The sequence below is a fragment of the Homo sapiens genome, chromosome 17, assembly GCF_000001405.40.
Source record: "Homo sapiens chromosome 17, GRCh38.p14 Primary Assembly".
Taxonomy (NCBI): Eukaryota; Metazoa; Chordata; class Mammalia; order Primates; family Hominidae; genus Homo; species Homo sapiens.
This window is the reverse complement of record NC_000017.11, coordinates 28,973,178-29,000,538: the sequence shown is the minus strand read 5'-3', so window position 1 is coordinate 29,000,538 and position 27,361 is coordinate 28,973,178. Positions and strand designations below refer to the sequence as shown.

At 54.3% G+C, this 27,361-nt stretch overlaps 1 protein-coding gene and 1 long non-coding RNA gene across 7 annotated transcripts in view, besides 7 other annotated features; one reads left to right on the top strand and one right to left on the bottom strand.

Annotated features, from left to right (window-relative positions):
* The window catches only part of LOC105371716 (uncharacterized), a 64,911-nt gene that overhangs the window by 15,974 nt on the left and 21,576 nt on the right, over positions 1-27,361 (bottom strand). Inside the window, exons 2-3 of one of the 2 annotated variants that reach the window (XR_007065691.1) lie at positions 6,463-7,717; positions 4,547-5,036 (exon numbers count right to left, since the gene is read on the bottom strand). This is a non-coding gene — a long non-coding RNA (uncharacterized LOC105371716). Of the gene's footprint in view, positions 1-4,546; positions 5,037-6,462; positions 7,718-27,361 lie in introns of those variants that run through there. The other variant, XR_001752822.2, reaches the window with a different exon arrangement.
* SEZ6 (seizure related 6 homolog) overlaps positions 1-27,361 on the top strand; it is a 51,536-nt gene that overhangs the window by 5,902 nt on the left and 18,273 nt on the right. For all 5 annotated transcript variants that reach the window (NM_001290202.2, XM_011524315.3, XM_011524317.4 and 2 more), the window contains exons 2-3: positions 18,500-19,168; positions 20,726-20,859. In NM_001290202.2, the coding sequence (NP_001277131.1) occupies positions 18,820-19,168; positions 20,726-20,859 (483 nt within the window). In that variant the 5' untranslated portion in view covers positions 18,500-18,819. The remainder of the gene's footprint in view (positions 1-18,499; positions 19,169-20,725; positions 20,860-27,361) is intronic.
* Positions 2,053-2,552: an enhancer, noted in NCBI's record as "H3K4me1 hESC enhancer chr17:27325005-27325504 (GRCh37/hg19 assembly coordinates)". NCBI's record gives its function as "activates a minimal SCP1, AML or CMV promoter by ChIP-STARR-seq in naive H9 embryonic stem cells {active_cell/tissue: H9 hESC(naive)}" and the evidence as "EXISTENCE:reporter gene assay evidence [ECO:0000049][PMID:30033119]".
* Positions 7,345-8,028: an enhancer, noted in NCBI's record as "H3K4me1 hESC enhancer chr17:27319529-27320212 (GRCh37/hg19 assembly coordinates)". NCBI's record gives its function as "activates a minimal SCP1, AML or CMV promoter by ChIP-STARR-seq in primed H9 embryonic stem cells {active_cell/tissue: H9 hESC(primed)}" and the evidence as "EXISTENCE:reporter gene assay evidence [ECO:0000049][PMID:30033119]".
* Positions 8,029-8,713: an enhancer, noted in NCBI's record as "H3K4me1 hESC enhancer chr17:27318844-27319528 (GRCh37/hg19 assembly coordinates)". NCBI's record gives its function as "activates a minimal SCP1, AML or CMV promoter by ChIP-STARR-seq in primed H9 embryonic stem cells {active_cell/tissue: H9 hESC(primed)}" and the evidence as "EXISTENCE:reporter gene assay evidence [ECO:0000049][PMID:30033119]".
* Positions 12,215-12,716: an enhancer, noted in NCBI's record as "H3K27ac hESC enhancer chr17:27314841-27315342 (GRCh37/hg19 assembly coordinates)". NCBI's record gives its function as "activates a minimal SCP1, AML or CMV promoter by ChIP-STARR-seq in naive H9 embryonic stem cells {active_cell/tissue: H9 hESC(naive)}" and the evidence as "EXISTENCE:reporter gene assay evidence [ECO:0000049][PMID:30033119]".
* Positions 14,244-14,884: an enhancer, noted in NCBI's record as "NANOG-H3K27ac-H3K4me1 hESC enhancer chr17:27312673-27313313 (GRCh37/hg19 assembly coordinates)". NCBI's record gives its function as "activates a minimal SCP1, AML or CMV promoter by ChIP-STARR-seq in naive H9 embryonic stem cells {active_cell/tissue: H9 hESC(naive)}" and the evidence as "EXISTENCE:reporter gene assay evidence [ECO:0000049][PMID:30033119]".
* Positions 17,663-17,712: an enhancer, noted in NCBI's record as "active region_11962". NCBI's record gives its function as "activates an Ori minimal core promoter by ATAC-STARR-seq in GM12878 lymphoblastoid cells {active_cell/tissue: GM12878}" and the evidence as "EXISTENCE:reporter gene assay evidence [ECO:0000049][PMID:35858748]".
* Positions 22,497-23,070: an enhancer, noted in NCBI's record as "H3K27ac-H3K4me1 hESC enhancer chr17:27304487-27305060 (GRCh37/hg19 assembly coordinates)". NCBI's record gives its function as "activates a minimal SCP1, AML or CMV promoter by ChIP-STARR-seq in primed H9 embryonic stem cells {active_cell/tissue: H9 hESC(primed)}" and the evidence as "EXISTENCE:reporter gene assay evidence [ECO:0000049][PMID:30033119]".

The following is a 27,361-nucleotide window of genomic DNA, read 5'->3' as shown; positions in this document are numbered from 1 at the left end:
GGTATATCTACCCATCCATCCATCATTCATTCATTCATTCCATAGATATATATTGAGACGTGAGGCCTGGCCCAGAATCCTCAGGGGCCCAGCCTTCACTGGTCAAGCGTTTCACATGACTTTTCTATTTAGTACTCGCAGTAAGATATTAGTTGTTCCCATTTTACACATGGAAAAACTGAGTTTTGATGAGATTAAGTCACTTACCCTGAGGCTGTACAGCCAGTAAGTAGTAAGGCTACTCCAAAGTGTCTGCCCATTTCACAAAACCTGGCTTCAGCTAGCACTATGTCCACTTTCCCGGCATAGGGGAGAGCTTCACTACAGGCAGAAGGGAACCCAGGAGAGTATCACTATCCAAATAATAGCAACAACAATAATAGCAAACATTTATATGGTACCAACTATGTGCCAGGCGCTGTACGAAGTGCTTTGTATACATTAGCTCATTTAGTTCTCTTATCATCTCTGTGAGATAGAAGTTATTATCTGCCTTTTATTAATCAAGTTGAAACCCATGTTGTCAGACAGACCCAAGACATAAACAGCCCTTCACTTTCTTCTAGCACATTTCTGGTGATGATAGGTGCTTCTCAGTCATTAGTGGCAAAGGAATAAAACATCCTTTCCAATATTTGGAGGTCAGGAAAGAATAAGGGGCTGGGAGTCAGGTGAACTATGGTCCCTGAAGTCTTGGGCCAGAGCAGAGTGATGTGGGGTGGCTCTTACTCTTCAGTCCTTTGAGGGCTTTGTGAATGAGAGGACCAGTCACTCCTGTCCTGGCATCCTGGGCTTCCCTACCTCTCCCCTTCAGCCTCCACTGAGGCCCAGCCCCCAGGTGGGAAGGCCCAACCCTGCCCCAGCTTCCTTCCACCTGCCTACCTGCTGCCCAAACCACCAGACCTGTGGGGGGAGGATGGATGCTGCAGCCACAGGCAGAGTGTTGTTGGCCATTGATTGTTGGGATTTCTCTGCGGGCTCCGGAGCAAACAAACCTGCGGCTTCTCCAACAACAATCCACAAACCTGCCGATTCTCCAACAACAATCCGGGTCTCCAGGTCTCAGGCTGCAGAGCCTGCAGCCTTGCTGGCAGGCAGTCTGGCAGGAAGGGAGGGGGTAGGGTGGGAAGTCCTGGCTGGGTCCATCTGGAACAAGGGGCTCTGCCAGGAGATGAGCAGGGACTGAATGAAGGGGGGCAGTGGAAAGATGCCATGAGGATGCTAGGGTGAATCCTAGACCCTGAGCATGCCCTGTGTCACTCATCCCCTACAGTTTTGCTCAGCCATTTTTTCATACCTGGAAGGCCATCCTGGGTCCTTCTGCTTATTTCATTTCTCCCATCCCCTCTTTTCCTGATCACCCAGCCCAGATGGCTCTCTCTGTTTCCCAAACACCAATAGAACTTAGCCTGTCCATCCTCCATCCATCCATCCTTCCATTCTCCATTCAGCAACCCTCTATTCAACAGCTACCAGGTGCTTTGATTGGGAGGAATATAACATAGTCCCTCCCCTTAAGGAACTCAGTTTAGAGGAGAGCTGCCTTTTTAATAAGCTCAGTTGTGACTATCTCTCCAGTTAGATTTTAATAGAAAGAGATACAGATGAAATGACAAACAGCACCTATATGATCCAGCTACTCTGGCCTCCAGAAGGACAGGAGACTCCTGGCCAGGGACCGCTCAAGGCCTCAGTTTCTCATTTGTAGGAAAAGAGTTTGCCTCTGGGTCTGTGACGACCCAGCAAGCCTCTGGGGTCCCTGGGCCAATCCATGATGGGTGCCCTTCATCACAACCCTTCCTATCTCTGGCAGGTCAGGTGTGCCCCTGAAGAGCAGGTACAGGACCTCTCCTGCCACTGGACAGCTCTGGCTATTGGAGGACCCTCCTCTCAAGGGGTAGGGGGGACTTCTGGTTTCTTCCCAGTCACCACCCCACTGATTTCCTTTGATCCTGATGCTGTTCCATTAAAGAGCTGGAAAAAGGACAGGCATCATGAATTTGTGGTGGGGAAAGAAGGGGGAGACCCGCTGCTTGGATTCTGCAGCACCAAATCGCATGTGCTGCAGAATCTCTCCTCACAATGCCCTCCTTCTCATGCCATCCCTCCCTACCCCTGGGTCCCCAGGGCCCAGCCAGAACCTTGATACTGTGGCATCAACCTTGGCATCTCTCTCAGTCTCTCCATCCCCCCTCTCAACAGGCTCTTCTCTCTACCCTCAAGCCCCTCCCTCTAACTGGTCATGAGTCTGGGAGGACAGAACTTGGGGTTACTGTGAAAAGTGCCTAAACCACTGAGCGCCCCCCATGCTCATGTGCATGCTGGTTTACCCCTTTTTGCTCATGGCTCCTTGTTAAAGACACCAAAGCGGACCCTTCTCCCCTCAACTTCCAGCCCCATCCCTCCTCCCTCCCCATAGCTTCTCCTTCCCTCCCTTCCTCTCTCCTTCCCTCCCTCCCTCCCAGCTCAGCAGCTGAGTGCCAACTCCTTTGTCCCCCAGGCAGCCACCTGCTGAGTGTCTGGCCTGGGTCCCACCAGCCAGCAGGTGCCTAAGGAGTCCCAGAGCCTGGGGGTGGGGGCAGGGAGGCATCAGGCAGTGTGGGGAGCCAAGTTGTGCTCAAGGAGGAGGGGGGAGTCCTAAAGGAAGAACATAAGAGGAAGAAGGCTGGTCAGGGAGTCAGGACACCCAGTGATGGGTTTTGCTGGCTGTGTGACCTTGGGCAAGTTGTGTCACACCCCAAGCCTCAGTTTCCTTGAGAATTCATGATGCCTGTCCCTGCCCCACCTCTTTTGTAGAACAGCATGAAGATCAAAGGAAATCGGGGTGGGGGGGATGGTGACTGGGAAGAAACCACAAGACCCCTTGAGAGGAGCCCCTCCAACAGCCAGAACTGTCCATCACCAGGAGAGGCTGATTTGTCAGGCATCTCTGGAGGGGCTGAATCATACAACCCAGGAGTCCAGAGCTGGACCGCTGAGGCAGCAGTGGGGGTGAGCGCCAGCTGGTTTGGGTCTGTCCAAGAAGGTGAGACTAGCAATGCAGAGGGACCAAGATCAGGGTGCTTCTAAGGCCTTCACCCTGGCTTGCTGCTCTGATGGACATTGTCTTAGGCATCATTTACGTCTAGCAAAGAGATATGCTGGTGATTTGAAATGTCTGGTCCAGCAGCTGGCAGGCCCCCTCTTGTCATGAAGCCCTATTTTCTGGCTGGTTAGAGGAAAGGTAAGACATGGAGTCAACTTTTGTGGACCAAAGAGCCCCTGGCAAAGGGGGCATCTCCGGGCAAAGGTGTGAATGTGGGATCAAACAACGCATGCACGAGAGTGGTCATCCATGCATTTACTTCTCTAGATCCCCTTGGCCCCCTTCCCTCAATTCCCACGCATCTCCTGGCAGAGCCCCAGTCCTGCCCTACTGGGTCCAATCACTTCTCTCCCATGCCTCCCTCTGCCTGCCAGCCAGGATAGAAAGAGCCTGTTGCTCAGGTCGAGTGATGCTCCTGAGCCGACAGCCACTTGTTGGTGCCCTAACTCTGGTCTGTGCTGTAACTCTATCCCTGATGCTGCCTCCGGTGACCCTTGGTCCTTCCCTACCCTAAGCTGCACACACAGGAGACTGAAAGAGACAAGGGAGGAGGGCTTAGCCCTGTCAACTCAAGGTGTCCACACACCCAGCTCTGCAGGGTCCTTGGAGGTCAAAACAAGGTGGAGACAAGGGACAGGCCTGAGAGGCTGGGGGCTGTGCAGTTGGGCCCATCTGGTGTTCCTGAGGTTCTGGGGAGAGGAAGCCCCAGTTGTGCTGGTAGCCATGTCTACGTGCATTTCTGCCTGGCTCGTTCACCTGTCCTTGAGTGTCTGTGTTCACATGTCCCTGCATGTCTGTGCCCTCTGTCCCTGCATCCTAGGACTGTGGCCTGGGTGTAAGGTACACCAGGCCCCAGCCCAGGCTGGTCTCTCTCCCTCCCTGCAGCCCACTCCAGTCTCTTCCTCCCCAATCTTGGGCTTCACTGACCCCTCAAGGAGACTCATAGCTGGAGCTTCTGCAGCTATTTTTAGCAGCTCTGCACCCCTCCCCTCCCCCACTCAGGTTTGCTGGGGAAGTGAAGGGCCAGGCCAGCCTCATGGGCTGGAGTGCTGGGTGGGCGGGGCCCCTTCCCCTCAGGCAAAAGGTGCCTGGGATAGCCCACAGGCTCAGGGCCCACACCCTGGGGCAGGAGAAGCTCATTCCTCCTGCCTGCCGATGGGAGAGGTCCCACGATGACCTCCCTCTGCCTCTACAACCTCGCCAAGTCCCTAAGGGCAGAGCCCAGGCCTCCAGTGACTCCTCCCTAAGCCATTTGGAAATAAGGCTGGAGCTAATTAGCTGGGTGTGGTGGCTGGGACTACAGGCACCCGCTGTAGTCCCAGCCACCCGGGAGGCTGAGGCAGGAGAATGGCGTGAACCCGGGAGGCGGAGCTTGCAGTGAGCCGAGATCTCGCCACTGCACTCCAGCCTGAGCAACAGAGACTCCATCTCCAAAAAAAAAAAGGAAATAAGGCTGGAGCTTCTGTGTCTCCCACACAGAGGCTGGGAGAGGCAGAAAGGAGCTCAAAGTGTCAGGATGTGGAGAGGAGGGAGGCATGCCTGGAGGAGGTGGCCCACCCAGGGACCTCCAGTACTGTCCTTGCACTCCCCAGCAGGGCTTCAGGCCCCTACTACAGCTCAACTCTGCCAAAAGGCCACCATTAGAGCTCATTGCCTTCCACACCCTTGAGCCTTCACCCTGGGTCCCACCACCACCAGCTGCAGCTGCTCTGGAAACTGGCACCAGCTGGGAGAAGGTATGGTAGGGCAGTTCAAGGGGTCTGAACTGAGAGACCAAGGAGGGAGTCCTCTGGTCGCAGGCCATCTTTGCTTTCAAAGTCTTTTGTTCCTGCATCTGTCCTTCTGTCTGTCTCTTGAGCTCAGCAGGACAAGGATGCCCAGGGTCTGCCTCCCAGGCCCAGCTAGACCACCTCCCACAGGTCACGTCAGCTCTCAGACCCTGTTTCTCCACCTGCGGGATGGAGACGATTAATCAGATGGTGTAGATGATGGGGCAGCATGGAGTCTAGCACACAGCAGCTGCCCAGAAACCTTAGCGCTCTCTCCAGGCCCTCTTCTCACACCTCCATCCCTGACTCCTATTCCTCACCTAATGCACCCCCCCCCACATACATGCACACACACAGAGACACACAAACAAATATGCTCACACACCTACATACATACACATGTGCACACACACAGACACACAAACACATACACACAGCCTAGCCCTGCAGATGCTCAGCAGAGGGAGATGAGGTGACAGGCTCCAGCACACTCAAAAGAAAAGTGACAAGTCGGCCGGGCGCGGTGGCTCACGCCTGTAATCCAAGCACTTTGGGAGGCCAAGGCGGGTGGGTCACGAGGTCAGGAGATCGAGACCATCCTGGCTAACACGGTGAAACCCCGTCTGTACTACAAAATACAAAAAATTAGCCAGGCATGGTGGTGGGTGCCTGTAGTCCTAGCTACTCGGGAGGCTGAGGCAGGAGAACGGAGTGAACCCTGGAGGTGGAGCTTGCATGAGTCAAGATCGCACCACTGCACTCCAGCCTAGGCGACAGAGTGAGACTCTGTCTCAAAAAAAAAAGAAAAGAAAAGTGGCAAGTCAACAGAGCACAGTCCCCCACCATGCCAAGCCCCCTCCTCCTCTACCCCTGCCCATCCGGAGGCTCCATCAGCCCCCAGGGTTGAGCACCGATAATAAAGGGTCAGTGACTATGTCCCACCCACCCAAAAGACTCTCTAAAAAGTCAGTAACCGGGCCGGACGCGGTGGCTTACGCCTGTAATCCCAGCACTTTGGGAGGCCGAGGCAGGTGGATCACAAGGTCAGGAGATCGAGACCATCCTGGCTAACACGGTGAAACCCCGTCTCTACTAAAAAATACAAAAAATTAGCCAGGCTCAGTGGCGGGCGCCTGTAGTCCCAGCACTTTGGGAGGCTGAGGCGGGCGGATCATGAGGTCAAGAGATCAAGACCATCCTGGCTAACACGGTGAAACCCTGTCTCTAATAAAAATACAAAAATTAGCCGGGCACTATGGCAGGCGCCTGTACTCCCACCTACTCGGGAGGCTGAGGCAAGAGAATCGCTTGAACCTGGGCGGCAGAGGTTGCAGTGAGCCAAGATTATGCCACTGTACTCCAGCCTGGGTGACAGAGTGAGACTCCGTCTCCAAAAAGGAAAAAAAAAAAAAGTCAGTAACCAAATACTGTGTGAAAAACCGGCCAGGCCCAGAGAGGCCGGGCAAACCCAAGGTCGCATAGCCTGTCAGTGGCAGAGCTCCATCCATGCTCGAGGCCTTCTAATAAGGCCTCACCAGGCTCCTCAGCTTCCACACCTAAGAACAGACATGCTAGGGACTTTCAGGGTAGGGAGTGGCCAGAGCTCACCTCAGCATCAGGGTAGCCCAGGGGTCTGGGCTTAGGGCCCCTCCATCTACAGTCAAGCTCTCCAACTTCATCTCCTCCCAGATGCAGCAGACAAAAGTAACCACAGGGCAAAGGTCACAAAGTCAGGGAGGTAACTTTGGTCCTGGTGCACAAAACAAGCCCCTTCATCTAACCCAAAGGCCACAGAGGCTTGGGGCTGCCAGGCCGGTGATTCAGCTCAAAAGTGGACACGTGTGCTGGAACAGCCTCAGTGGTGTGGCCTTTTGAACCTCAGGGTAGAGGCTGGGAGGGGGCAGTAGTCCAAAGATGCTGGCCTGGGGCCCAGGAAGGAACCTACTCTCCGGCCCTGGCACCTCATGGCCCTGTCTTGCTGGGCTCCATGGCTAGGAAGGACTGTCTTTGTTGGGTATGTGGAGCGAGGCAGTAGGGCAAAGGATGGAGGGGATGCTATTCCTCCCTAGATCAACCCCTGTCCCCCAACTTCACCACTGCACTGGGCAGAGCTGACCCTGGTACTGGCTCTAGGGAGAATGCAGCTCCTGCCTCCACATCCTTCCTTGTCCCAGCTGACACCTCCAAGATTTTCCATTCAGAGAAATATGGTCTCTGCTGCTGATATGGTGGTGGTAGAAGTGGCTGGCACAGGGAGAGGGCTGTGAGTCACGCACCCAGCTCAGGGCCACATACTTCTGCCCACTTGCTCCACACCCCCACCTTGGGGCCAGTGGGTAGCTCCTCATTCTCTGCCTCCTAACATAGCAGGTAGGAGAAGGGGCCTGGGGCTAGCAGATGGACAGAAGGAGCTGATGGACAGAAACGCCTCCAGGGAGAGAACGAAGCCCAGTCCCCAGCTCCAGCCCTACCTAGGACTCTGCCCTGGCCACACTCCTGGGAGGTGGCATAAGCAGGGTGAGGTACAGCAGATTGATTATTTATCAGACTGGTGAGGGGTGATGCCAAGAAGACCATTCCTTCCATCCTACCCCAGAGGCTGGGGTCGATTCCTGCCCCTACCTCAAGGTCAGTCCCTCCCTCTCACCTAACCCCCACTCCAGGCCCCCAGCTCCAGTGCCACCTGCCCAGTCTGAGGAACTGTGGGCAGGCAGGGCTGGGGTCCCCAGGGCCAGCAGGCAAACAGGAGAAGGGAACACAGGTCTGCAGGGGACGGTGTAGAGTGCAGCAGGTGACGCAGGAGCAGAGGCCTCATTCATCACCTCTCCAGCCCCCAGCTCTGCAGTGGCGAGACCATATTAGACTGTAAATTGAAAAGCAGAGAACGTGGCAGTTAGCTGGGAGCTCTCTACCCTGGGCCCCTGGTCACAGCCTCATGGGAGGGAGGGGACACTGGAGGAGAGAGGACTGGCCCAGCCGCAGCCCCAACTAGTCTCTCCCTCCCCCACCCACCCAGAGCCTGAGACGCTGTCCAGGACAGATGGCCCTGGGGCGGGTCAGGTCAGGCCCCAAGGAGAGGGCAGAGTGAAAAAGGGGCACAACAGCCAGCTTGGAGAGAAATATATCCCTTCTTTTGGGGGGTAGGGCCTTTCTGGGCTTGGGGACTGCTTGAAGCCAGGTCCCAGGGTGTGGCATCCTTGGGCAGGGACACATGGTAGTGACTTGTGGCACAGGCATGTATTTGGACCTGCACATGCACATGCACTTGAACACACACACACACACCCGGTCTCATGCACACACGTACGCCCACACACACACGCACGTGCACACATGCTCACACGAAGCAGCAGCCAAGGCAGTAGACATTTTCATCCCAGGCTATGGAACAGGCAGACTCGGTTCAAACTCTATTTGTCACTTTCCTCTGTGTGAACTAGGAGGATTCACTTTGCCTCTCAGCCTTAGTTTCTTCATAGGCCAAGCATAAACTATTGATTCCAAGCACAAAGGGCTGCCACTCTAGGTGGAAGACAGCTCTTTGTGAAGTGCATGGCTAGCCCATAGCAGGTGCTCAGTAAATGTGAGTGCCTCTCCTGTGCCCGAGGCCAGGCAGCTGCTCTGGGGTAGTAGCCAGGCCAGATACTCTGCCCTCGGTGCTGCTGGCTGGGCAGTGAGGCAGGGGCAAGCCAACAGAGCGCAGCAAACGTTCCCCTGGAACACACATGTGAGGGCAAAGTACGAAGCTAAGTGTTCCTGGCTGTCCTCCACCCATAAAATCCTCCTAAACTGGCTCTGAGCTTCCAGAATTGCCCATCATACATCCAACCCTCAGAGCACCTGTGCGCGGCCAAGTTTGGGAAGCAAACCTCATCGGTGGATGACAAGAATCCTCCCTGAGGAATGAGTAGCTGCTACGCCCAGTTCCCCGAGGCCTTTCTGAAAAACTCGAAGAAGTCCAGGGCTCCTTGTCATCTCTCCCTGCCAATCCCAAGCCGCAGTTTTCCCAGACCCGAAAGGAGGGGAGCAGACACCCCATCTTAACTCTTTTCCAGGAGCCCCACCCTGGGCTCTTCCTCACTGAGAGGTGTGACTACTGTAAGGCTGAGAAGTCAGGTAGGGATATGCACTTTCCATTATGGTAGCCACTGACCACATGTGGCTATTTAAATGTAAACTGGCCGGGCGCTGTGACTCATACCTGTAATCCCAGCACTTTGGGAGGCCGAGGCAGGCCGATCACCTGAGGTCAGGAGTTCGAGACCAGCCTGGCCAACATGGTGAAACCCTGTCTCTACTAAAAATACCAAAAATTAGCCAGGCGTAGTGGCGGGCGCCTGCAATCCCAGCTACTCAGGAGGCTGAGGCAGGAGAATCGCTTGAACCCAGGAGGCGGAGGTTGCAGTGAGCCAAGATCGTGCCACTGCACTCCAGCCTCGGTGACAGAGCGAGATTCCGTCTCAATAAATAAATAAATGGAGGCTGGGAGTGGTGGCTCACGCCTGTAATCCCAGCATTTTGGGAGGCCAAGGCGGGTAGATCACCTGAGGTCAGGAGTTTGAGATCAGCCTGGCCAACACAGCGAAACCTCATCCCTACTAAAATACAAAAATTAGCTGGCCATGGTGGCACATGCCTGTAGTCCCAGCTACTTGGGAGGCTGAGACAGGAAAATTGCTTGAACCCAGGAGGCAGAGGTTGCAGTGAGACGAGATCATGCCACTGCACTCCAGCCTGAGTGACAGAGTGAGACTGTCTCAAAAAAAATTTTTTTTAATAAATAAATAAATGAGAGACCAGAGTTTTATTACTACTCAAATCAGCCTCCCTGAATATTTGGAGGCTAGGGTTTTGGTGTTTTTTTGGTTTTTTACTTTTATTATTATTATATTATTATTACTATTATTCGGGAGTCTTCTTTCAAGCCTGAAGGAGGCTAGGGTTTTTTTATAGCCGGGAGATGGGGAATGGGTGCTGCTGATTGGTTGGGGATGAAATCATAGGGGTCTGGAAAATGGTCCTCCTACACTGAGTCCACTTCTGGGTGGGGGCCGCAGGACCCGGGAGTCATGAGTCTTGAGCCAGGTGGAGCCATCTTGTCAACAGAAATGCAAAAGTCTTGCCAGGCACAGTGGCTCACACCTGTAATCCCAGCACTTTGGGAGGCTGAGGTGGGCAGATTGCTTGAGTTCAGGAGTTCTAGACCAGCCTGGGCAACATGGTGAAACCCCATCTCTACTAAAAATACAAAAAACTGTCTGGGTGTGGTGGCACATGCTTGTAATCCCAGCTACTTAGGAGGCTGAGGTGGGAGAATCACCTGAGCCTGGGAGGTCAAGGCTGCAGCAAGCCAAGACCATGCCACTGCACTCCAGTCTGGGTGACAGAGTAAAGAAAAAAAGAAATGCAAAAGTCCGAAAAGACATCTCAAAAAGCCAATCATAGGTTCTACTATAGTGATGTTATTTACAGGAGTAATTGGGAAAGTTGCAAATCTTGTGACTTCCAGAATAACGGCTGCTAACTATGCCTACATCTCAGCAGAATTCAGGCCCCTCTCAGCCTCCAAACCTGGTGGTCTTTCATTCTTTTTTTTGTGTGTGTGTGGGCAGGGGACAGAGTTTAACTCTTGTCGCCCAGGATGGAGTGCAATGGTGCTATCTCAGCTCACTGCAACCTCCGCCTCCCAGATTCAAGTGATTCTCCTGCCTTAGCTTCCTGAGTAGCTGGGATTACAGGTGTGCACCACCACGCCCAGCTAACTTTTGTATTTTTAGTAGAAATGGGGTTTCACCATGTTGTTTCACCAGGCTGGTCTCGAACTCCTGACCTCAGGTGATCCCCCCACCTCGGCTTCTCAAAGTGCTGGGATTACAGGTGTGAGCCACCGCACCTGGCCTCTTTCATTAGTTTTTAAAAGGTGGCTTAGTTTTGGGAAGGGCTATTATCATTTAAACTATAAACTAAATTTCTCCCAAAGTTAGCTTGGCCCATACCCAGGAATGACCAAGGGCAGTCTGGAGGTTAAAGGTAAGATGGAGTTGGTTACATCACATCTATTTCACTGTCATAATTTTCTCACCATTATAATTTTGGCAAAGGTGGTTTCAAGCCCAGTCTGGGCAACATAGGGTCTTGACCCTCATCTCTAAAAATAAGATAAATAAATAAAAATATTTCCATCATCACAAAGGTCTATTGGACAGGGCTGCTCTAGGCTAGACAACCCAGGTTTGAATCAGACTGCATTAGCATCCAAACTGCTAATGCATTTCCCTGGGTCTCAGTGTCCTCATCTACAAAATGGGATAATAAAAGTTCCCATCTCATAAAGTTATTATAGGGATTAATTCTGATAAAGCACTTAGAGTGTTGCTGGGCATGTGGTAAATGTATACTCAGTAAACAGCAGCATTCAATATTTTTATTCATAGAGCCCTTCATGGTTCACTAGATCCTGGAATGTGAGAACTGGCAGGGACCCATTTTACTGACAAAAATATGGAAACTCAGGTTGTGGAAGTGATTTGTGCTGAGGGACCTGGCTTGTCAGGGGTGGGATGAGGATAGCATGGCCTGACTCCTAGCTGGTGCCCACTACCTCCACCCATGCTCCCTCCATGTGACAGTGAGACCCCAACTCTGGAGATGCCAAAGCCCACAGTTACCCCTGTCCCCAACCAGGATGGCTAAGGAGGCAGTGGGGTCTCTGTCCCTGGAGGTATGCCCACAGATAAAAGACAGCTCCAGACTGGAGGGTTCACTCTTCCCAGTAGTTGGGCTAGATGTCCCAGCCCCATCCTGAGTCCCAACCCTGCCCCAAGTTTGCTGTGTGACTTGGGAAAACCCCCTGGACTTGGTTTCCTCTTGGGTAAGTGAGGGAGGGATGAGATGCTACAAGGGCTCATGTTCTGGGAACCAGCCACTGCCCCACTTGGAGCCTGGCCAAGAGGAGGTGCCCCCATTCATATTTGCAATCCAAATTTGACTGGACTGCAGGGGTTGACCAAGAAAGAGAGGGTGGTGAGAGGCTGTGATGGGGATGATCAGTGGCAGGGGAAGAGAGGGTAGTCCGGGGCAATGGGGACCCATCAGCTTGTGCCAGCAGACACTCCCCATCAACTGCCAGTTGGGGCTGTGATGGGGCATGGCCAAGGGCTGGCTGCCCATCTTCTCCTGGCAGGACCCACTCCTGCTCACCTTGCTGGCCAAGGGCTAGGCACTTTGGGGAGCAGGTTGCCTTCTGAGTGTGCAGAGAGGCAGAATCGGGGCTTGGAAACAGTGTGCCCTGAGCCCAGCCTTCACTATGCCTAGCACCAGGTAGAGAAATGGGAAGAGAGATACCCACTGCTGGATCCTTGCCCAGGGACACAAGCCATTCATGTGTTAGGAGCCCACTAGGAAGTGCCCCCAGGAGGTCAAGAGAAGGGCCAGGCAAGGATGGATCTCCAGAGGAGGCTAGGAACTGACCCGTGAAGGATGGGGAGGTTTTGCAGAGACAAAGGAGTAGAGAAGCCATGGCAAGGAGAGAGAATCGCGTGAGCAATTGGGGCCAAAACGGGGAAGGCACCTGTTCTGACGATGAGAAGTTCCTTTTGAGTGTATCTCTGTGTCCAACCCAACAACTGCCCCTCCAGGGCACAACCAGAACACCCTTCCCCATCATCCAAGCTGCAGGGCTCCTGGCACGAGTGCGCTAGGATAGTGGTGTCCAGCTTGGTGGGGAGATAGGAGGCCCCAGGTGCTACAGCCGAAAGCCAGCAAGAGCAGTAGACAGCTGAGCTATGGGGCTGTCCAGCTTTGGGTTCCAGTCCGAGGCTCTGCCATCATTAGCTGCGTGACCTTGGACAAGTTACATAACCATTCTGGGCTTCAGTGTCTTCATCTCTTGGGATAATGTCCCAAACCTCCCTGGAGCAAGGGGAGAATGAGAAATTACGTATGAGGGCACTGAGTGCATGGTCAGCACACAGTGGGCACCGAGTAAGTGAATGGCAGCTCTTACCAGCCCCAGTTTCCTGGCTACCAACCACAGGAGACAGAATGTGTCCATTCTGGCTCAGCCATAGCTTCTGGGTGACCTTGGAGGAGCCACATCCCTGCTCAGGGCCTTGCTTTCCTTATCTGTCTCATGGGGGTTATATTGCTTTCCCTGTCAATACAAGCAGATGGATAGCAGCAAACCTGCCTCAGGTGCTGGACACTGTCGGGGTAATTATTTCAGTTGCGCATGGAATTGGAAGCCTCTAGAACTAGGCCTCAGATCCCAGCGGCCCTATATAGCCCTGCCAGCCTCTAGCTGGGGCCTCACAGTACAGAGGGCAGGGCTGGGCCCGTGGAATTGTCACTGTAAGGAGGGACTCTGGCTCTGGGGGGCCCAAGCACTCTCAGCTCCCTCAGGTTCTCGGATAATAGGGGTCTGCAGGGACCAGGCCCTCACTAATCCCCTATTAAAACTTGAAAGGGGCCAGGGAACCTTCAGAATAAACTCATTAACTTTTATGGGATAATAAATGGATCCCATTAAATTCTCATTGTCCCCGTGCTGGGCCAGCTTAACCTCTGGAACCCAGAGGAGTGGGCCCCCTGCCCGCCCTGTCCCTCAGGCTCCCCCTTGTACCCACACGCTGTCATGCCCTCCCCCGAAGCTGACAGTTGGTGCTGCCATGAGGCGGGGATCAGGCCTGAACTCGTCCCAGAACTTTGGTTCCCGTGACTGCCCACCTCAGAGGGGCCAGAGGCTTGGGAAATGCCTGGCACCTCTTCAGGGGCTGCCAGAGTGACAGACAGTGCCACCTGCCCTTCCAGAGGCTGCGGTGGGTGACAGTATATGTCTGTCCATAGATGAGCTCTCCCCAAACCCAGTATGTCTTCACTCCACAGATGAGCAGACAGAGGCTTGAGTGGGCAGCCCCCGCCCAGGTCACACAGCTAGTGTCACATCGATTTGGGATTGGAACCCAAGGCTTTCTGGCTGACTGGTACAGAAAGATCTGCAGAAACAGCAGCGCTGAAGGGGCAAGCCAGCTGGCCCTGAGGTGGCACCACTGCCTGGTTCGGCGGTTCCCCCAGGCTGGGGCACTGCGTAATGACTCCAGCTCCACCGCACACCACCACTGTGAACCTGGGCAAGCTCCTGGGCCTCACTGAGCCTCGGTTTCCCCATCTATAAGACAGAGGCCATAACACCTACCTAGCTGGACGCTAGAACACGCCCCAGTCCTTAAGGCTTCCCCTAAACACAGGCTGGGCCCCGCCCCCCATCCCGATCCAGATCTGGTGGGGCTGGGGCGCAGGTGGCCTCCGCTCCACCCTCACCCAGCTGGGCCCTGGGAAGTGAGGCGGGGTAAGCGGTCCTCCCAGGGAGTCCCAGGCTGGGGTTGGGAGGAAGGGGCCTCCAATCCCAAGAGGGGCCATAGCGGGGCGGCGCGGGCAGGGAGGCGGGAGCGGGAGAGAATCCACCGGGGAGGCATCCTGAATGGCTCATTAGTGCCGATGAAAGCCTTTTTTCATTTCGTCTAAATACTTTAAACAGGGCTCCCTCCGATGTCTATTTGCACAGCTTAAGAGCTAATGCGGGGGGAGGGCCCAGGCGGCGGCGGGGCCATGCCAGGGCTGGGGGCGGCAGGCGCTGGGAAGTTCCTGGGCAGTCTCCACCAGGGATGGCCCGCGGGGAAGGGAGGGGTGTTTCCCGGACCCAGCCCACTCGGAGAATGCAGCCCCCGGCCCTGCGGGAGGGGAGGACTGAGCAACTGCGGAGTGCATCCTGTGTTCTGGCACCAGGTGGGCCTGGCAAGTGGGGATCACGGGGACGATCTTGCTGCGGCCCACCGCTGTGTCCCCCACCGACATGCAGGGCCTTGAAGGTGGTCGCCCTTTGCATGGTGCAGTATTATCCTTGTTTTATGGATGAGGTATTTGACATCCTCAGGGTCACACATGCTGCCACCCAACATGGAACATGGGTAGTCCCCCAGAGAAGAGAGAGCCCTACCTGCCAGGGGCCACCCCTTCCTACCCTAGAAGCCTGCCTCAGTGTTCCCCTGACAGGGGCTGCCTAACCTCTGACTGTGGCCTTCTCCCTCAGCCTTCAGAACTCTCCTATTCAGAGCATGCAGATTCACACAAAACCCTTCCAAAGTGCCCATTTTATAGCTGAGGAGGCAAAGGCTCTGAGAGGCAACTTGCCAGGTTCACATGACTTTTAAGTGGCAGAACTGACACTTGAACCCAGGTCTGTGTGGCTCTGTGCCCTGGCCCCACACAGCAGTGTTGTTGGGTCTCCGGTTTGGGTTTGAGGCTCAGATGTGCTTCAGGCACAGGGTGGGGGCTTCCCTGGGTCCCAGCCAGAAGGCTTCCTGAGGGCCTGCTCGACCAGGGCCCAACCCAAGTCCCAATGCCAGAAGCTCTGGCCCCAGACTTCTAAATGGCGTGAGATCTTCGACGAGTCCGTGCCTCTCCCTGGACTTAGTTTCTTCAACTGGCTGGAGTGTTGTCTGCTGTGTAGCTCCAGTCTGCCCCTCCCATGAGGCAGGTGGGTATGTGGAAAGACCTAGGGCTTTGAAGCCAAATCATCGAAGGTTTAAATCCCAGCTGCGTCACTGCGAGACTTCAGGCGAGTCCTTGCCTCAGCTCTCTAGGCTTCAGGTCTTTGTAAAATGGAAATAAAATTCCCATCTCCCAGAGGCGCAGCATCCATTAAATGATACAAGGTCTGGGAAGGGCCTGACACAGTAGTGCCTGATGAGACTGGGCATTAGAGCCCCTGACACCTTCTTCTGCTGTCCCCTATATCATACTCTCCCTTCGTCAGTCCCTGCACCCCTGAATTCAGTCAGCCCAGGCAGAGAGAAGCCCCTATCCACTGGCCACAATCCTGGGAAACTAGGGGGCAGGTCTCAGGGCCTCAGGCCTCCAACAGAGTCAACCAGGGGGTCTGGAGATGCCCTCTCCCCAGAAATGGCTTGTCTCCCAGAGGTTATCTTACCCTCTATGACAGTGGGTGGCACCCGCTGGGACCAAGTGGCAGCTGATTTTGGAATCAACTTGCTCGTTTGATATGCTATCTCGATCCCAGATAGCACAATCAGTGCAATCGACAGTGATGGGAGGTGCCCATTAGTGCTGCTCCATTGCTCAGCACCCACCTGGCAGCCAGCGGGAAGAGCTGTGCCTGCCCTGGACACTTCCTGAATTAGAGAATCTCTGTGCACTCCCTCTCCCAGGAAGAGTCACACAGGTACCTACTCTGAGAGCCAAGGGCCACATCTCTTGTTGGGTACTCTGGAAAGGGGCCGCATAAACAATGCCCGGATCCAGGGGGCTCCAATCTATGTGATTAGAAAAGCCCCCCTTCCTTGCGCCATGCTAGAATCAGTCTCAGCTTACCTGGCATAGCCTGTGTGATGTCTGGGGGGTGGGCAAAAAGAGGAGCCCTGTTCTGGCATGTCACAGGCACTGCCTGGACCTTCCGTAACTTATTCAGATGAAAGACAGGCACTGGTGGACCATCTGCTCTGGGGGGTGTGGGCCTGGCTGGACATCTAGATTGGATGGTGTTGTCAGTGGCTGGCACACAATGCCAAGACACAGATGGGCTGCTTTAGTGGGCATCTCAGGAGATAGCAGTTGGTCCTGGTTTCTCAGGGATGTGGGGTGCCCAAGCTCCTCTGACCCAGAAGAATGGAGAGCCCTCCAACCTGTACCCACCTCCCCCACCCAATTTCCTCCCTCCTCCCATTTGTCTGACACATCAGAGCTGCTATGGTCTCCTGAACAGAACGTAGGCCATCTGCTGCTTCCTCATGCCTGCCAATCTATGGAGTGGGTGTGAGCCTCTGGAATGACAGCCCCACCACCAGACGTGCGGAGGAAGCGACCTTCTCCTTGCAAACTCTGTGATCTCACCCCGGCTGTGTTTCCCTTCAAGTCCTCATGCAGCCATTTTGAGAGCTGTAAGGATCAGAAATATCCTCCCAGGCTTCTCAGAGCTGGCAAAATTCTGTATGAGCTGAATCTGGAGCCAGCATTCATTGACCTTTTCTTGGCAGTTAAGGATCTGGGGAGCCGAATGGGCCACAAGCAGAATATGCATCATCTCTCCAGCTATGTGGTTGAATAAGTCAACACAATCAATAGCAGAGCAATCTGTACCTCAGACCAGAGATAGCAAATCAGTTTCATCCCCCAGAGCCAATCTCATTGATTGGTAGTGGCTGCCTGAATAACATTGTGAGAGGGAAGTTGCTAAGGACCAGGTGGCCTTAGCAAGAAATAACCAAAATTGATTAGCAATGCCTGCCATGGATTAGGGAGTGGGTGGGTAGCATGCTAGATTTCCATTCTACACCTGTTTTTCACCCTGCCCTAGATGGAACCTGATTAGTGTCACCAGAAAGATTAAGGGAACTCAGGGGGACATATCAAATAGAGACGGGATGTAATATTATCTCAGTCAATCCTAAAAAGGAAACCCAATTTTACAGATGAGAAAACTGAGCTTCAGAGAGTTTGGGTTATTTGCCTGAGGGCACACAGCCCTAGAGTAGTGGATCTGGGATTTGAAGTTATGTCTGCCTAGCTCCAGAACTTGGCTCTTCCCACTCTACTCATATTACTGCTCTAGAAGGACCATAAAAACAGAAATGAGTACAAAAGAAATGATTTCCTGAGAACGGAGAGAAACTACTGGGCCCCTAACAAAGAAGTCATGCACCCATGGTCGGGTGCGGTGGCTCATGCTGTAATCCCTAGGAGGCTGAGGTGAGAGGATTGCTTGAGCCCAGGAGTTTGAGACCAGCCCAGACAACATAGTGAGATCTCCATCTCTACAAAAATTCTAAAAATTAGCCAGGCATGGTGGCATGCACCTGTAGTCCCAGCTACTAGAAGTGGGGGTGTGGGGACTGTGGCTGAGGTGGGAGGATCGCTTGAACCTGGGAGGTTGAGGCTGCAGTGGAGCCATGATCACACCACTGCATTGCAGCCCGGGCCACACAGCGAGACACTGTCTCAAAACCAACAAACAAAAAAAGAAGTCATGCAACCATGAGGAAATCTAAAATAAAATCCCAAATATGTGACGCATTTCCTGAGGCTAATGACCAGCAGGTTCACTGAGAACAGGAAATGAACTTGAATGCCCTATCATCTCAGACAGGAAAGACACTGTGGTGGGAGACACACTTACGGTTTTCATCTCAATTCAACTGGTCGCGTGACTTTGAGCAAGTCACTTCCTTTCTCTGGCCTATTTCCTCACTAGTAAAATAAGGCCTCTGCTCTTCATTAGGGATGGCAAATATTTGTCATGTCAGTCTGAGGTGTCAGGTGTGACCTCGTGGAGTGCTGTGTTGAGGAGGATTCTGAGGCTGAACCTGAGAACAGTAGGAAATAGTGCACGGATGGGCTAGAAATGCCTGCCTCTGGTGCTGGAGGAGAAAGAGTATCTCATGTGCCACCCTTGAAGTATGTAATAGCACCTCACTTCCAGTTCACAAATTCTGTAGTTCCGTGATTCTCAGCAGTGAGCACGCTCCTCAGGGCTGTCTGTCAAAAGAGAGCGGGCCCCCCCACTACTCGAGTTGGGCGTGATGCTGCTCTCTGGAGCAGGGGGAGAACCTCTGACCATCCCTTATTATTTCAGGACTCTCTTTAGAGGCCCCAACCGTGGGGAAAGGACAAGCCCCAGGCATCGAGGAGACAGATGGCGAGCTGACAGCAGCCCCCACACCTGAGCAGCCAGAACGAGGCGTCCACTTTGTCACAACAGCCCCCACCTTGAAGCTGCTCAACCACCACCCGCTGCTTGAGGAATTCCTACAAGAGGGGCTGGAAAAGGGAGATGAGGAGCTGAGGCCAGCACTGCCCTTCCAGCCTGACCCACCTGCACCCTTCACCCCAAGTCCCCTTCCCCGCCTGGCCAACCAGGACAGCCGCCCTGTCTTTACCAGCCCCACTCCAGCCATGGCTGCGGTACCCACTCAGCCCCAGTCCAAGGAGGGACCCTGGAGTCCGGAGTCAGAGTCCCCTATGCTTCGAATCACAGCTCCCCTACCTCCAGGGCCCAGCATGGCAGTGCCCACCCTAGGCCCAGGGGAGATAGCCAGCACTACACCCCCCAGCAGAGCCTGGACACCAACCCAAGAGGGTCCTGGAGACATGGGAAGGCCGTGGGTTGCAGAGGTTGTGTCCCAGGGCGCAGGGATCGGGATCCAGGGGACCATCACCTCCTCCACAGCTTCAGGAGATGATGAGGAGACCACCACTACCACCACCATCATCACCACCACCATCACCACAGTCCAGACACCAGGTCAGCTACCTGCTGGCTTGCAGATGTGGAAATGGGGATGGGGGAGGCTGCGGGGCCCCTAAAAGCCTGTCTCTGACACTGTGCCAGCCTGCCCTGCCCTTTGGCACCAAGGGCCAGCCTGCAGGAGGCATGTAGATTGGACCCAGATAGACCTGAGCTCAAATCCTGATTCTTCAGCCAAGTACAGTGGCTCATGCCTGTAATCCCAGCACTTTGGGAGGCAGAGGCCAGTGGATCATCTGAGGTCAGGAGTTCAAGACCCTCCTGGCCAACATGGCGAAACACCATCTCTACTAAAAATACAAAAATGAGCCGGGCATGGTGGTGGGCACCTGTAATCCCAGCTACTCGGGAGGCTGAGGCAGGAGAATCACTCAAACCTGGGAGGCAGAGGTTGCAGTGAGCTGAGATTGCACCATTGCACTCCAGCCTGGGCAACAGAGCGAGACTCTGTCTCAAAAAAGAAAAAATCTTGATTCTTCCAACTATAACATGACCCTAGGAATTCTATTTAACATCTCATCTCTGAGCCTCATCTGTAAAATGGCAATAAGAAAATAAACTTCTGGCTGGACACGGTGGCTCATGCCTGTAATCCCAGCACTTTGGGAGGCCGAGGCAGGTGGATCACCTGACATCAGAAGTTCAAGATTAGTCTGGCCAACATGGTGAAACCCCGTCTCTACTAAAAATACAAAAAATTGGCCGGGCGCGGTGGCTCATGCCTGTAATCCCAGCACTTTGGGAGGCTGAGGCGTGTGGAACGAGGTCAGGAGATCGAGACCACCCTTGCTAACACGGTGAAACCCCATCTCTACTAAAAAATACAAAAAATTAGCCGGGCGTAGTGGGGGGTGCCCGTAGTCCCAGCTACTCAGGAGGCTGAGGCAGGAGAATGGCGTGAACCCGGGAGTCAGAGCTTGCAGTGAGCCAAGATCATGTCACTGCACGCCAGCCTGGGTGACAGAGCGAGACTCTGTCTCAAAAAAAAAAAAAAATAGCCAGGCATGGTGGTGTACACCTGTAATCCTAGCTACTCGGGAAGCTGAGCAGGAGAATAGCTTGAACCCAGGAGGCAGAGGTTGCAGTGAGCTGAGATCACGCCATTGCACTTCAGCCTGAGCAACAAGAGTAAAACTCCGTCTCAAAAAAAAAAAAAAAAAGAAAGAAAACAAACCTCATTGAGCTACTGTGAAAACTGAGATAAGATTGCACATGTTAGGGGGCCGGGTGCAGTGGCTCACGCCTGTAATCCCAGCACTTTGGGAGGCTGAGGCGGGCGGATCATGAGGTCAGGAGATGGAGACTATCCTGGCTAACATGGTGAAACCCCATCTCTACTAAAAATACAAAAAAAAAAAAAAGATTGCACATGGTAGGTGCCTAATAAAAGGTGGTCCCCTTCCTTCAACAGGAGACTAGACATCACAAGAGGTGGTCTTCACCACACACACACACACACACACACACACACACACACACACACACACGGTTCAGCCTTAGTTGGACCACTTCACCAGAGCTGGCACTAGCTTTGTGTCTCCTCCTGCCTCCCAGGCCCTTGTAGCTGGAATTTCTCAGGCCCAGAGGGCTCTCTGGACTCCCCTACAGACCTCAGCTCCCCCACTGATGTTGGCCTGGACTGCTTCTTCTACATCTCTGTCTACCCTGGCTATGGCGTGGAAATCAAGGTGAGTGATCTGGATCTGGCAAGGGCAAAGCTGGGGCGGGTGTATTCTCTTTCTTCAGAGAGGCACATGCTATGAGAGGATGTGGGGATGATTAGGGGCATCAATTGTGGGGCATCGCCTAAGGCCAGGGCTGGGAGATGGGCCTAAATGGTTAGATTCTGCCCCGTGTGTTTGGCAATGGCCTAAGCCAAGAGGGGCTGTGGGAGGGGGCTCTAGCCTTGGATGGGCAGGGGACTGGGTGAGTATAAACCCTACATCTGAATCTATGGGCTAAGCAGAGAACACAGGGCTGCCTCGCTGGGCCTGAGAGAGTCATGGAGCTTCACTCATTCATTCATTCATTCAGCAAATCCTCTCTGAGCAGTTCCTCTGGGTCAGGTTCTGTGCTGGCTTCTGGGATGCAGAGGTGGGGGAAGACAGACCTGATTACACCATCAGAGAGGTGATCAGCTGATAGGAAAGTCAAATCTACAGGCCAGCCTCCTGTCCCCAGCCTCCCTGGGTTATCTCATCCCTCCGTTAGGATTAAGACTTTCTCTTAATCCCGAGGCCTGAGGCTACAGGTCCTCACAGATGTCCCACAGGCTCCTCAACCTCCACAAACCCAAATCTTCCTTTTGTTCCCCCAAAGCCACTCCTGTCCAGGTCAGAAACCTGGAGCAGAACCACCATAGTGCAATGTGGATGGTGTCCCTTAATGTGCAACATGGGGTCTCCTTAGCCTTTCCCTGTCCCTCTTCCCCCAGTCCCATCAATTCATCCCCAAATTCTGTCACCATGATACTCCCCTCTAAATCTCTCTGCTTCTCTCCCTCCATCCCCACAACCACATGTGGTTTAGACCCCACCATCCCTCCCCTGATGATGCAGTAGCTGCCTCACTGGTCACCCCGCCCACACTTGCTCCCTACTCTACCCATCTCCACCTCCACTGCAGTCATTTTTCTCAAATCAATCCTGCCCCCTACACCTCTCTAAGGGCTCCTGAATCAAGGTCAGTCTCTCTGGGTCCACCCCTAGACACTTCGTCCCTTGTTCTTTACCCCCACTTTGCACTAAACAGCTTGCAGCTAACTGAATGGGCCAAACCTTCTTTCCCAAGTCCCAGCTGCACATGCTGGTCCCTCTGCCTGGAAGAGTCATCCCATGATGCCTTCCCTTAGGACTTGGCCCTGGCATCACCCTCTCTGGGAATTCCCTCAGATCCCCAAAGCCTGGGGCATCCCCCATCTTAGCTCTTAGCAGTCTGCCTTCCATCCAACTGTTTACAGCTGTCCACCTCCCCAGCTAGACTGTGAGCTCCTTAAGGGGTGCCTTGTAGTGCAGAGCCCAGAATGGGTACTCCATGCGCTGACTGAATGATCGGACAAAGGGATGGAGGAAGGAAGGGATGTGATGACATTTGACTTGAATCTTGGAGACTGACCAGGAGTGGGCAAGAGAGGCATTCAGCCTGGTTGAGGGAATCTGGCAGGGCGCTGAGAAGTGTGTCCTGCTCCCTGCTCCCTGCCTTCTGTTCTGCTTCCCGCCCATTCCAATTCCTGCATGTCCCTGGATTGGGGACTGAAGCCGTCTAGACCTATCTTGGGGCAGTGCCTCCAGCCCTCCCCTCTGGGGATGTCAGGTCCAGGTATCTGAATCAGACCCTGTCAGGGGGACCCTCTCCTACCCCTGTTGGGCCCCTCCCCTTCTTCCTACAACTGTTTCCTCCTACTCTGCCAAGCCCTGTGCCCCTCACTCTGGGCTGACTGGGAGGGTAATTAGGAACAGCCACCCCGCCTCAAGCCATTAGCACTCAGCACCGCTTAATTAAGGTAATTAATGTAAAATCATCACCTAATGAGAGGTGGCACCGGCTGTGGCTCACTGGGTGGAAAGCACCAGCTGCAGGTGTGGGAAAGGGGGTGGGAGGGGGCAGGTGCCAGGCTGAGTGCCCCCCTACAGGCCTGGGAGGCTCTGTCTGCCCCCCCCAAGCCTACCACCCCTACTGAAGCCCACTGGACAAGGCTGAGCCCAGCCCTGGCACCCTCCACAATGGAGCAAGATGCTGGCTCTGCCTGCCCCCTCTCTGGCCCAGGCACAAGCCCCATGCTGGATGCCCACCCCTCACATAAGCCCCGTGTCTGTTGTCTGGTGCTGCCACATTTTTTTTCTTTTATCAGAATGCAAAAGCCATTACCAGGCAACCTTGAGACGAAGACCTGCCACAGCCCTGGATTGCTGTCAGGAAATGTGGCAGATGCTGGCCCCACCCTCCACCTCGGTGCCATGGGGGCAGGGTCCTTGGGGACACTGTCGGCCCGGACGGCCTGAGATAGTCTGAAGTCATGGAGGGGAGGCGGGCACAGGGTGGCCAGAGCGGGGTCAGCACCCAATTTGGGGAAGGAGCAAGAGAAAGAATCAGCCAGAACTAAGCAGGATTTAAGGCTCTTCTTCCAGGGCCAGTTCTGGCAACCTCCACCCCCACCCAGGCCACTTGGGACCTGAAGAATTTCTGACACTACCCAACAATACCCACTGGAGAGTTGGAAAAACTGAGGCCCAGGCAAGAAAAGGGACTTGCCAAAAGTCAGTCAGTTAATTACTAATTAGTTTTGTTGAGTGGATTTGTTCCACAAGCAAACATTGAGAATTTGCTATGTGCCATGCTCTGCGCTGGGCACTGGGGACACAGACCTTCATGATTAGTAGGGAAGACAGAAATCATAAACAATGACCACGGAATGCCCAGTGCTGGCAGGGATGGGGATGGGAAGCACAGGACGGGCACACTCCACCAGCCTGGGGGTCAGGGAAGGCTTCCTGGAGGTGATGACACCTGGCCTGAGACCTGTAGGATGAGAAGCCAGCAGCCAAGTCTGGCCTGGGCAGCAGCAGGTGCGGCAGGCCTGGCCCTTGAAGGCTGCCCTGGCTGTTTTGGAAAGGTGGCTTTGTTGTGTAGGGGCGGAGGGTAAGGGTAAGGGCTTCCGGATCACACTCCTGCCAGAGGCTCAGCCCAAGAGCAGCGTCCTTCTGCCCAGGCTGACAGTTGTGTCAGGCCATGCTGGACACTGGGGGCAGGATGGGTGGGCAGCTGGAAGGCCTACAGAGCTCCCCATGGCTCCTCAGGCTTGGGGAGAAGGGACTGCCTGTGGCTTCCCTCCATCATGGAGAATTCCCCACCTGCCCCTCTATGAATTCACTGGGATCACTCAGGGCAGATAGGTGGGACAAAGTCTGGGCAAGAAGAGTGACAGGAGCCATGGAGGAGAGGACTGTCTTAGGGACCCACAAATCATACCCCTGAGCAAAGCAGCCAGACACCATGCTGGGACCCTAGCATGAGACCACAGCCCTTGCCTCAAGTCCGGGGCCTTCAGCAAGACCCTCTCAATTCCCTTTTTTTGGAGGACCAGCCTCAGGGGTACCAGAATCCCTAAAAGCCCTATTCTCCATGGCTTGGACCACAGCCTCTCATAACCTGCTTCATCTCCTGCCTCCCACCTCCTTTGATGGTGCTGCAGTTATTGATGCCCTCTGAGGCTGAAGGTCTGAGCCATCCACAGGGAGGAGGCCAGGTCAGGCCCTCTGTGATCCAAGGAGGCTTGCCTGATTCATCTGGGGATCAGGCATTGGGCTAGGCTCTTTCTTGAGAGGTCCAGAGAAGCCCCTTCAGGATGGATGGGCATGAGCCTCACAGCCCATGTGGGTCCCAGCCCCTCCCCAGGCAGTCAGTCTCCCCCTGAGGGCTCCAGGCCTTTCCGGGCCTGGCGCCTGCCTCTCTCTGCACTTGGCATTCCAAGAGCCTTCCCACTGCCAGCCTCCATCTTGGCTTGGCTGCTCTCTGTACCATCTGGAGCCTGGGCACAGCTGCCCACAGTCCCTGCCCTCGTGCCCCAGGTGGCTCTGTTGGCACACAGCTCGCCCATGCCAGGCCAGCTGACAGTTTGATAGCCAGAATACCCTGCCCTTCTAAGCCGTGTCAGGACCAGGCCTGATGTGGGCATGGGGTAGGGGGTCAGTTGGGTGGAATTTCTGGACAACTTTATATTTCCTGGCTCTAGGCAGGCTTATCCAAGAGGGATGACAGGGTGCAGTCAGGTCTAGCCCCATGGATTTTGGCCACTGTCCTCATCCCTAAAACAGATCTTACCCCATAAGGTTTTCTGGATAAGTGCCAATTCAGAAGGGCACAGAGTCTGTCTTGTAAGACTGGGGTTTCAGTGTTGGCTCTGCAGCCCACCTCTCTGTGACTGAGCTAAACCCCTGGCCTTCTCTGTGCCTCAGTTTACCTCTCTATAAAGGGAGATTGAACCAGATGATGCACCAGGCTTCTCCTAGCCAGTCCCTTTGAGTGTGGCTCCTTCTCTGGGGTCAGCAAGCTCCCTTATAGGCCTGACTGAGCAGGGGCACCTCAGGTTCTTGGCTCTGCTGCTTGCTTCCTGGCAGCTGCAGAGTCTGGGCCAGGGAGAGGGTGGCTCCAAGGTACAATGCCTCCCAGGCAGAGCCCTGGCAGACCTGAGGGCAAAGTAAGTTCATAGCCGGCTATCATTTCTGCTGCAAATGCCAAGGTTTTACCAGGGTGTGGCCCACATCTCCCCATTAAATGGAAAGATGACTGCTAGCGCTGTGCCCCTCTGTGCTAAAACCCTTACTGGCAGGATCTAACCAAATCCTTACAAACCCATGAAGTAGGTAAACTATCCCCATTTCACAGGCAAAACTGGGGCTCAGAGAGGTCATATGACTTGCCTAAGGCCCCTCAACTGGTCAGTGATTGAGCCGGGATTCAATCCAAGACTCAAAAGCCCCTGTTCTTCCCTTGGCCCAGGAGATAGGCCTGTCTGTGGCACAAGGCAAATCCAAAGTGGGAGACCCAGGCGGAGACCGGTACCTGTCAGGATCTGCCCCAGATGCCCTTTCCCAGTCAGCCCTGCCTGATTCTGGAGGACATCCACTTGGAATTCTCCCAGTTCTGGGGAGGGCCTGGGGTTGCCAGGCACACAAGACAGGACACTGGACCAGGAATCATGAGTCCTGGCCTCGAGTCCTGGCTTTGTCTTGGACTCACTGTGTGACCAAAGAGGATCTCTCAACTTCCCTGATTACAAGGTTCCCTTATCTATAAAGTGCAGGAAAACAGCCTGCCCTGCCTCCCTTATTGAGACTTTATGAGAGCTGAAGAGATAATGGATGTGAAAACTGCGAAGGTTCTTGTGGGAAAATTGTGATTATCCTATGGTTGCTGTGAGGGAGCACGGGTGTGTGAGGGCATGCGAATAGGGTGGTGGTGGCGCCTAGGCATAGTGTGAGAGTTTGGATTGGTGGGTTATTTTCTGCCAGGGGGTGGAAGTGCACGTGCCATGACACGTTTGAGGGGGCTGTGTGCGTGTAAGTGGGCCTGTGTCCGAGTACACACAGGTGATGGTGACCAAGAGAGCCTAGGAGACCTGTAGCCAGCATCTGGGGGTGGGGATCGCACACAAGAGTCATCTTTGAGCTCATCTGCCTATGCCGGGTTGTACTGGTGCAAATGAGTACAAAAACTGTAGTGCCATCTCGTCTGTGGGTTACGCCATTAGGGCACGTGCTGGAGGCCTGACTGACAGCTTCTATGGGGACAGACAGGGCAGATGAGGCTGTTGAGCTAGAGGTTGGCAGAAGACAACCTGAATCCTTCCCACCTCCCATCCTGGAAAGGGCCAGCCTCTCAAAGTGGCTGTATTTCCTCCTTGAGCTGACTCCATGGTCTGCTGGAAGCAGGGCAGTGTTAGACAGCCCAGGGTCCTGGAGGAATTGTCCTCAGCTCCCTCTGCTTTTGTCTTCCCCCTGCCTGGCCCCCAGGTCCCCTCCTGTCACTGGCTATGGGTATGGAAGACAGCCCTCAAGAACAGAGCTGACATTTCAATCTGTCTCCCAGGCTCTACAGATGCCTGCAAATTGCATCAAGACTTCATCACCCCTCCTGTCCGACACCCAGCCCTGTCTGGCCTCTGTCAGCCTGGCCCTCAAACAAGTGACAAATTACATTCCAGCCACTGCAGCAGACCCACAAGAGGGTGCTTGAAACCCAGGGGACCAGAGCTGCACAGACAGCCTCTGGTTGAGAACAGGGAGCCTTCTGGATAGGAGCCACTTCATTCCACACTCTCATCCCAACCCTCACCACTAGACTGGGCCGGGAGCCAGGCCAGCTTGAAAGGGCCATGCCTCCCCTGGACCAGAGGGGGCCAGAGGTCTCAGTCTCAGTTTTCCCAGCTTTACAGACTGCTAGGAGCAAGGGTGGCTGGTGGGAACTCAAATCCCAACATCTTAAAAAAGCCAGGCCAAGCCAAGACCCACCTCCTTGCTAAACCTGGGGGTGCTGAGCTTGGGAATAAAGATGTCTAGATGTTATTTCTACAGAAGATGCCCCCATGAAGTTGGGAGGATAGGGAGCTGCCTTGTCTCAGCAAAGCAAGACTGCTTAACCCCTATGTGACCTTTTGCAAGTTCCTTAGCTTCTCTGAGCCTCTGTTACTGG